The sequence below is a fragment of the Homo sapiens genome, chromosome 2, assembly GCF_000001405.40.
Source record: "Homo sapiens chromosome 2, GRCh38.p14 Primary Assembly".
Lineage (NCBI taxonomy): Eukaryota > Metazoa > Chordata > Mammalia > Primates > Hominidae > Homo > Homo sapiens.
The window spans coordinates 129886641-129896842 of record NC_000002.12 but is presented as its reverse complement, the minus strand read 5'-3'; the positions used below and the strand labels follow the sequence as shown (position 1 = coordinate 129896842).

The 10202-nt window shown below is 50.2% G+C and overlaps 1 annotated feature.

Annotated features, from left to right (window-relative positions):
- Positions 8794-9031: a silencer, noted in NCBI's record as "fragment chr2:130645385-130645622 (GRCh37/hg19 assembly coordinates)". NCBI's record gives its function as "represses an EF-1alpha promoter that drives an FKBP-Casp9 reporter gene in an ReSE screen in phorbol 12-myristate 13-acetate-treated (for megakaryocytic differentiation) K562 erythroleukemia cells {active_cell/tissue: K562(+PMA)}" and the evidence as "EXISTENCE:reporter gene assay evidence [ECO:0000049][PMID:32094911]".

The following is a 10202-nucleotide window of genomic DNA, read 5'->3' as shown; positions in this document are numbered from 1 at the left end:
GCAGTTGTGCTGTGGGTTGTCAGAAAATAGCTCTCCGGGGTGTGAAGGGGCCAAGAGATACATGGAGCCAGCTGTGGGCGATGGGCATGGCATCAGACCGAAGGTGCCCACCCATCTCTGGGGATCTTGTTGAGGTGCAGATGCTGACTCACCAGATCTGAGTGGGATCAGGGATTCTGCATTCCTGACCAGCTCCCAGGTGTGACCAGTGCTGCTGGTCTGAAGGCCCAGGACTTTGATAGGGCAGGAGAGAGAAGGACCTGCTTATGTCACCTTGGTGGCCTGTGGGAGGAGTAGGAGTACACAAACATGAGGGTGTGATAACACATGGGCTCCTATTCGCCCTTTTCACAGAAACCTCAGCGAGGCCAGTCATGAACACAAGGGGTCTATCCCACCCAAGCTGAGCCCTCCTTGGACAGGCCTTGGAATGCAGCACTCCCAAGGCTGAGCTCAGGTCATGTGCTGATGGGGACAGGACTATAGCTGACTCCAGCCCTTCAGTCCTGGAGCTTGAGGCCAACGGGGCAAAGCTGTCAAGTGTCCTGGAGGTTCCATTCATGTGGTTTTCCAATAAGTAGGGCGAGGAAAATGACCCTATCTTCCCAACTCAGTGCTCCCCCTATGCTAACCTTGTTGGGGTGCAAACAAAGGTGTACCTCTAGAGTTTGGCTTACACAAATGCAATAGCTTTTTTTTTTTAATGAAGACATTTGCAGTTAAATTATAAAAAGTTACTTGCACCAGTCATAGGGCATTCTGAAGTCAGAGAGTATGTGTGGCTGTGGGGTGGGGGTGCAGGGCAGGGCAATGATCATGCTGGGAATTTGAAGTTGGTAACCCAGGGAAAGAGGTCCAGCTATACTTCTCCTGACCTGTTCCCCAGATTGTCCACCCTTTTCCCAGGTGTCAGCCCACCTGAGACCCATCCTTCCTTCCTCTGTGTGCCCTGTCCTCCCCAGACAGGCCCCCATGCCATGGCCGATCACTGGATGCTGTGGTGGGCACAGCAGTGCATGAGGTCATTGTCTTGTGAGCCCTGTACTTTATGGATGAGGATATGGAGGCTCAGGCGGTTGGGAACTCAGCCACATCACACAGCTTGCAAATGGCACAGGTGATATCAAGCCCAGCTCTGTCTGGCACCAAAGCTCCTAAACCCAGCTGCTCTGGTCCCCACCAATCTCTCCTTCCACAGTTTCAATATTTGATAGTCTGTGCCATCTTTGGATATGTACTCAGTTTTATTCATTCTTTAAAATCATTTGCAGAGGTCCTGTTCTTTCCCATGCACCATACTCAGAACTGAGAACAGTAAAATGCTGACTGCCCTGGGATGGCTCATTGGCACACTCAAGCCCCTCTTGGCACAGGATTCCAGCAAGGCTCAGAGGAGGGGTCAGCCCTGCCAGGGGTTAGGGGGCTCAGAGGAGAGGTTAGTCCTGTCCTGGTTTAGGGAGCTCAGAGGAAGGGTCAGCCCTGTCCTGGTTCAGGGGCTTACAGGAGGGGCTAGGCCTTCCCGGGGTCAGGGGGCTCAGAGGAGGGGTCAATCCTGCCAGGGGTAAGGGTCTCAGAGGAGGGTTGGCTCTGTTTGGGGTCAGGGTGCCCAGGGGAGGGTCAGCTGTGTTTGGGGTCAGGATGCCCAGGGGAGGGTCGGCTGTGTTTGGGATGAGGGTGCTGAGGGAGGGTCGGCTGTGTTTGGGGTGAGGGTGCTGAGGGAGGGTCGGCTGTGCTTGGGGTGAGGGTGCTGAGGGAGGGTCGGCTGTGCTTGGGGTGAGGGTGCTGAGGGAGGGTCGGCTGTGCTTGGGGTGAGGGTGCTGAGGGAGGGTCGGCTGTGTTGGGGTGAGGGTGGTGAGGGAGGGTTGGCTGTGTTTGGGGTCAGGGTCAGGGAGGGTGGGCTGTTTGGGGTGAGGGTAGTGAGGGAGGGACGGCTGTGTTTGTGGTGAGGGTGCTGAGGGAGGGTCGGCTGTTTTCAATGTGGCATGGCTCTGCAGAGGAGTTTTTGTCATGCTTGTGCCAGGAAGGGCGTGATGGCAGATGGCGGCGGCGGGCCAGGGTGTGGTATATCTGCTCTTTGTGTCTAGTTTTGTCTTTTCAAGTGCTTTGAAAGCTCCCTGATATCAGGGTCTGTTTTCATTTTCCTCTGAAATTTTAGGTGCCCACAAACTAGCATGCACAAGGCATTGAGAAAACGCCCACAGAAGAGAGTGCAAACCACTGTGGTCTGAGTTATCCATTTCCCAGCTGCCCCAGGCATGAAAAATAGAAACGATATAATCATGGGGAGCAGTCACACCAGTTAGAATTTAATGAAAGCCATTCTGCCATTCTGGCAAGTGTGAAAGGAGACACATGGTGATTAGGGTGGTCACTGGGACAATCTTGCTGGAAAGTGCTTTTCTGACTTGGTTCACATCTATATAGTTTTGATGTTGTAATTCTGATTTTAGGAATCGGTTCTAAGAAGCAGTAAGAAAGCCAAACAAAGCCACAGCAGAAGCACCTGGCACTGTTTAGAATGCTGCACATCTGAGACTATCAGTGGTTGCAGAGAGGGGGCTAAGGGTCGGGCTTGATGACGGTGTGTGACCACTCATGGGACAGAGTGGTCTTTAACTGGAGGGAAAATGCTCGTGCCTTGATGTGAAGTGGGAAAAGACCAATACAAAGACATGGTGGTATCACTGCAAGCAAAAGACTGCTTACAGACAAGAGGAAAGACTGGAAGGAAACACCCAGAATGGCCAGTGGTCAGCTTTGGGACATGAGTATGACTGATTTAATGTATTCCTTTATAATTTAGAAAATGTTCTGTGGTGGGCTTTTGACAATTGTTGAATAAAGGTTGTATAACAAAAGTGAAACAACAGAATTTTGAGTGAAGGAATGAGCAAAAGCGCTGGGGCAGGGGTGTTTCTTTTCAGTTTCTACAACTGCTGTAACAAAACGCCACCAACAGCACCTGAGAACACCACATATTTACTGTTTTACAGTTTTGGAGACAGGAAATTTGAAATCAATCTGACTTGGCTAAAATTAATGTGTCAGCAGGATGCAGTGGCTATGCACTTTGGGAGGCCCAGGTGGGAAGATCGCTTAAGTCCCGTAGTTCAATACCAGCCTGGGCAACATGGTGAGACCCCCATCTCTACAAAACAGTAACAACAACAAAATTAGCTGGGTGTGTTGGTGCGCGCCTGTGGTCCCAGCTACTTGGGAAGCTGAGGTGTAAATATTGCCTGAGCCTGGGAGGTGGAAGTGGCAGTGAGCTGTGTTTGCACCTCTGCATTCCAGCCTGGGTGACACAGTATGACCCTGTCTCCCAAAAAATAAATAAATACAAAATTTAAAAAGTAGAACCAACATGCCATCAGGATGTGTTCTTTCTGGAGCCTGCGGCTTCTGGAGGCTGCCCGTACTCCTTAACGAGATGTCCCATCGCCGCAGCCTCTGCATCCACCATTACCTGTCCTTCCCCAACCCTGGCCCTTGAGATCATACTTGGCCCACCTGGATAAACCAGGATAATCCCTCATCTCAACGTCCTTAACATAATCACATTTACGAAGGCTTTCCCCACATGGTAATGTTCGGGGGATCGGGCTGTGGACATTTTTGCAGGTTTATTATTTGTCCCCTCCATGGGCCAGTTTCCTATGGGGATGTACTTCTGAGAGTGTGGTGTTGAGTGCTGGGGAGCCTGCTAGCATCTCATCATCACCCTGCAGAAATACTGCAAAGTGACTAGCAAACCCAACGGGAACACTTGCAAAGGGTAAATTGTGTTCCTGCCTGATCCTTCTCGGTGAATGCAGCACCCATGGAGACCCAGGAGGTGCTCCGTAGAGGAGGGGCCTGGGTTTCTGGGGCCCTGGGTTTTGCTGACAGTCAGCTTAGAGAATTGAGGAGGAGCAGGTTGAGTGGGCATAAGGGCATCCGAACACCTCGGGAGACAAGCTGCTTGGGTAGAGGTGTGACATTGGGCCAAGTGCTGAATGGAAGGGACCCAAAAGGCAAGGCAGAATTGCAGAAATGAAAAAAAGGAATGATGGCATCTGGACAGCGCTCTACCTTCTCCAGCAGGTTTCTTGTGAATCTTCTGTCTTCATTCACTCATTCCTTCACGCATTAGTCACATGAATGCCTGGTACCTGCCAAGCTCCTGTGACAAAGGGGCCAAGGAGGCCTCAGGCCCCGTCCCTCCTGGGCACAGCATTTCTGCCCCCGAGCTAGAGTCTACCAACCATACCACCAAGGAGACCCAGGTCGGGGCAGGTGGCCCTCGCACTGTGGAGCTGGTGCGTCCTGGGACCTGGGCTCTCTGACCGACCTCTTTAGGTCTCCAGCACCTCCTCCAGGCCCTGGGGTGCAGCGTGGGAGGGGGTGTCCACTCTGCCTCTCCCTGGAAGCTGAACCCCTACCAAGATGGGCTTCTTTCTTTCTGAACGTAATCCTTGGCTCCCCTCCTTCCATCCCTGCCTTTCCAGGACCCTTTGTCCTCTCCCACGTGCCCATCCCTCCTTTTTTCTCTCATCTTTCTCTCCACAGAGGTGACATCCTGGGGATGGAGCAGGCAGCAGCAGGGCCCCGAGCACCCTGAGGGGTCTTCCTGCTCCACAGGCTCTGGCCCCATTTCCCCCTGAGGTGCAGTGAGGGCACCTCATTTGGGAAGGAGGAGGCAGACGAAGAACATAGAGAAAGGGACCCAGGACCTGAAGTCAGGGAAGCGGCCAGTTGGGTCCCGATGAGGGACCCAGCAGATATATGGGAGGGCCAGGCTGGCGGGGAGGCTGGAGGCCTGCAGTGTCCTTGGGCTCCACGTGGCCAGGGCAGGGGCAGAGTGGGCGGCGCTGTCCACACGGGCCAGGCTGAGGCTGAGGCTGAGGCTGAGAGCGGGACGCTCTAGTGGGGCTGCAGGGAGATGCAGGCAGCTTAAGGCAGGGGTCAGCTTTTCTCCTCCAGACTACAGCTCCTAGCATCTTCCAGTCTGAACAAAGGCTTTGTTCCTTGTAGTCAGCTCACACAGGTGTGTCCCTGGAATGCAAGCTTCCTTGAGTTGCTGCCAGCACAGCAGCAGCAGGAGGAGGATGGATGTGGAGCAGGGGCATGCAGTCTGGCCCCATCAGCTTTTCTCCACACTGAGGATCCAAGATTCCTCACTCCAGGGCCTGGGCTGGATGTCACCTTGGTGCCACAGTATACTCCCAAGCCACCAGGGGAGAGGCTATGGACTGAGCTGTGTCTCCTTAAAATTCACATGCGGAAGCCCTGACTCCCAGTTTGGTGTGAGGAGTTGGGGCCTTTGGGAAGTGATTAGGTTTAGATGAGGTCCTGAGGGTGGGGCCCTCGTGATGGGATTGGCATCCTTATGAGAAGAGTCACAGAGGGCTTTTGAGAAGGCAGGCAAGAAGAGTGCTCACCAGGGTCTCACCATGGTGGCACTGATCTCACACCTCCAAAACTGTAAGAAATACGTTTCTGTTGTTTGAGCCACCTGGTCTGTGGAATTTTGTGATGGCAGCTGAGCAGATGAATACAGATTTCAGGACTAAGAAGTGAGGTGCTAACTATTGTTACAGAACCAAACTGGGGGCCACTCTCTGTGCACAATAACACCAAATACCCATACCAGGGTTTCTGCAGTGGTAGAAAGGAAGGTGTTTACTGCAGAGCACCAAGCAAGGAGGACCAGGCAGCTAAATGCTCAAGATCTGGCCTCCCCCATGTCTCACAGGCAGGGGTAAGTTGCAGGAAAGCAGAAGCTACAGGCAAAATCCTAAATCAATACACAGAGGTTACACATTGGTTTAAGCTTGAAAGGATGAGACATCTTGAATGGGGGCTCACAGATCATGGGTGGACTTAAATATCTTCTGATTTGCAATTGGTAAGGAAGAGAAGCTTTGTTTAAAATTTAGGGGGTCAGTAGAAAAATGTTAACTTGCTAGGGGGAGTGAGTTTCTCACAGCCCCTCAGGAAGAAACTTGGAACAAAGACAATAGTTAAAAACTTTCATCTTAGTTTCTCTCTCATCTGGGGTCTGTGTGCCAGTGGATCTTTAGTAGGTGGGGAGGGGGTCCTCAGCAGGCGTCCCAGCCTCTGAGAGACAGGTTAGGGACATATGTTAAGATTTTATCTTTACTTTCTATAGGGAAAGCAAACATTTCTGGAGCTTTAACTTCCTTGACTATTGTTCTTAGGCTATTATTACCTTTTTTAAACAAGGACTTAATTACCTCTGGGACTAGCCAGATGCCTGGAAATTTTTTTAAGGGACCTTGGGATTTTTCTTTATTTCATGCTTGGGGGGTACACAGGTCCCTAAAAAGAAGGGGAATCTCTACTCTACCTGACTATAACAAATACATAGATATGTGAAAGTGTCTTTGGAACTGGGTAATGGGTAGAGGCTGGAAGAGTTTTGAGGTATGTGCTAGAAATATGGACATTTAGGGTGATTCTGGTGATGTCTCAGTTGGAAATGAGGAACATGTTATTGCAAATTGGAAGAATAGTGATTCTGGTTATAACGTGGCACAGAGCTTGGCTGAACTGTGTTCTAGTGTTTTGTAGAAGACGGAGCTTGTGAGTGATGGAGTTGGATATCTAGCCAAGGAGATTTCTAAGCATAGAGCTGAAGGAGCAGCTTGGTTCCTCCTGACTGCTTATAGTAAAATGCAAAAGAAGAGAGAGGAATTGAAGAAGAAACTCTTAAACAAAAAAGAACCAGAACTTGAATATCTGAGAAGTTCTCAGTCTCTCTGTATTTCAAAAAGTGAGAAATCTTGTTCTGAAGGAAACACTACAGGTGTGGCTGTACAGCCATTTGATAAAGAAATCACGGGTGTGACTCATGGACTTCTTCAGCCATCTCAGTGGAAGCCAGGAATAGAGATGGAATTATACCAGCAGAGACGCTGCTAATTTGAACTAAAGGGGGCAGAAAAAAATAGATGAAGTGATGGAAGGCTGTCAGAATTCTTAGATCTGACTGGACCAGACCATAGAGTGATTTGGCTACGCATGTGCACTCTTCTTCAAGGAAGGGGAAGACAGAACCTGAAGGTGATTCAGAGATCACAGGGACACCACCAGTTCAGTTTGAATAGGCCAGGTGGCCTCTGACCAAAGCCTTGGCGCCACCCTGTAGAGTCTGGGAGGCATGATCCCCAAATGGCAGAGCTGCAGAGGCAGGACTGCTGTCCCAGGAGGTCTGGAGGGCAGAGAATCCAGCTGAATAAGATGATTCTTGAGCCTTAAGATCTAATGATACTTGCCTTGCTAGGTTTTGGACTTGCCTGGGACCTGTCACCCTTCCTTCTTTTCTTTTCTTCCCTTTGGGAATGGGAATGTCTATCTTCTGCCTGCCCTACTATTGTATTTTGGAAGCACATAACTTGTCTCGTTTCACAGGTTCATGGCTGAAGAGGAATTTTCCCTCAGGATCAATTGCACCTTCAGTCTCACCCATATCTGATTTAGATGACATTTAGATGAGATTTTGGACCCTGACATTGATGCTGGAACAAGCTAAGACTTTTGGGGCTATCGGGATAAAATGAATGTATTTTGAATGTGAGAAGGACCTAAAGTTTGAGAGGACAGAGGCAGAGTGTTATAGACTGAATGGGAGGGCTTTGTTCAGGAAGAGCCTTGGATTGCTGAATCCCAGGGGAAACTTCAGCTTGTTAGATGACATCAGGCCTGTGGAATCTGCATGTCCAACTGACTTGTGTGTGAGGACTGAGGAGATGGGGTGAGATCAGCTTCACCCTAGCCTTCACCCAGTGCTTGAGCTCCTCTGGAGACAGTGATGACAAGGATCAGAGCCTGCCCTGCAAGAACAGCCCCCACAGCTCTGGGTATCTTCCTGGGACCACTCAGAGGAACGAGATGTGCTAAGTGTGTCAAAGCAGTGGGGAGTGGAAGGAAGGAGGCAGTGTGGACCTTTGCTGAGCATGTCTCAGGCAGCTGCTTCCAGCAACATCGACATTGAGTCCTCACAACGGCCCTGGGAGGTACATAGGCACATCCCTGAAATGCAGAGAGTCACAGACCCAGAGAGGTCAAGCACTCATTGATCACTGAAGCTGGGTGTGGGATCAGATTGGCCAGACCCCCCTCTATCACTCTTCATGGGCTCAGAAGCTTCCATGCACACCATCACCAACCATGCCTGGAGGGCTGCCAGGTCTCCTGGAATTGTCTCTGGGAATCAGGAGGCGAGTTGTCCACAGGTCTGAGTGTGTTTTGCTGGTTGTGCACACAGGATGCTGGCTTCACCCTATGTGAACGGAGCCCCATGGGCCCTGCTGTGGGGTCAAGGGAGTATTCAGGCCTCTGAAACAAAATTCCCTCTACATAAACAAAATCTTACATTGCATATTATTGCTAAACATCACTTGGATGTCACAGCCACGGGAAAACTCAGGCACCCACACTGAGGACAAGGCTGTGTTTGAAGCAGCCTATAGGACCCCACTGAGATTTTTTTTTACATTAATTTATTATGATTAGCAACCTCTGAATGCTTCCAATCTGGGAGCACATGGTGATATTCTGTATAATTTATTTCTCCAGCCTCTGCCCTTTCAAATTTGAGAGGCGCTTGTCAACAGAACAGTAGCAGAGCCACACCCACTCTGTCCAGGTGGAGGGAAGAGCCTCCTCCCGGGGCTTCCTCCTGGGTGGGCTGGGGCTGTGCCTTGGCATGCCTACCTAGGGTCTGGCTGCCTGTTGGTCTCATCCACAGATCTCCTGGTGCCAAGGGGGCATTCAGAGGGCCTGCAGATGCCCATGTCTGTCCTACTGGCTATGCATGGTCCCAGACACCTGCCTGCTTCTACTGCTGATGACGACAGTGAGCCTTCCATGCCTAGCATCTTTAAACATTTGACCCATCACCACCTTCCTGAAAATCCTTCCCTGGACCCCCCACTGCTCTTAGGATAACCTCCTCCTTGGGCTGGCCCTGTCCCCAGGAGCATTTCCTGGGGCTGTGTTCAGCCTGTGCTCTTGCCATTCACCTCCCTACTCTAGGTGTGGTGATGTGCTCCCACATTGTGAGCTCCTTCAGGATGAGTGTGCCTGGCCTACAGACAGCCTGCCCAGAGATGGAGTGAAGTGAGATCCTTCACCCTCCACAGCCAAGGCTTAGAGGGCATGTTCAATGGAGGGCCCCATAGGAGAGATAGTTGCAAGGACAGGTGCATGGGGCCTGAGAGTGTGTTGTGACCTGAGAGGCTGCTGATCCAGGTGAGTAAGGAATGAGTGCCTACCATGGAAGGAAGTGGGGGAGGGGATGGCTGGTGGCGTGAAGCTGTGTAGCTGCCTGGTTGTGCAAAAGTCTTTATGAATTCTTTGGCTTTTCCTCCTCTAAGTTTTAGAACCAACTTGTCAAATTCCTTCAAAATCCAATTGGAATTTTGATTGTGACTTATGGAATCTATAGTTCAGTTTGGACAGGACTGACCTCTATAATAGTGAGTCTTTCTATTCATGAACTTGGTATAGTTCTCCATTTAGTTCATTATTTTATCTCACCATTTTTAGTAATTTTCTTTATATATGTCTTGAATATTATGTTTTAGGTTAATTCCTACGTACCTTATATAAACCAAAAATAAAATTCTAAGACCCCCAACCATCTAAGTGGACCCCTTGTCTTGGCCAACGGCACTCCAAAGTTAACCTGAAAAACTAGTTCAGGCCATGATGGGAATGGTGAGTTGGAGATGCCTCATTATACCCTCATCCATTTTGGAATTCAGGCCCAACTCACCAGCATTAACATTAAAACAGAGATCTTAAGATTGATAAAACAGATGCTTTTTTTTTTTTTTTTGAGATGGAGTCTTGTTCCTGTCACACAGGCTGGAGTGCAGTGGTGCCATCTCTGCTCACTGCAACCTCCACTTCCTGGGTTCAGGTAATTCTTCTTCCTCAGCCTCCTGAGTAGTTGGGATTACAGGTGTGCACCACCACACCTGGCTAAGTTTTGTATTTTTAGTAGAGACGAGGTTTCACCATGCTGGCCAGGCTGGTCTCAAACTCCTGACCTCAGATGATCCACCCGCCTTGGCCTCCCAAAGTGTTAGGATTATGGGCATGACCCACCGTGCCTGGCCAGGCTTTTAACATTTGAAAGAAACAGCTACAGTCTATTCTTTCTGAAGCCTCCTACCTGGTGGCTTCATGTGCAT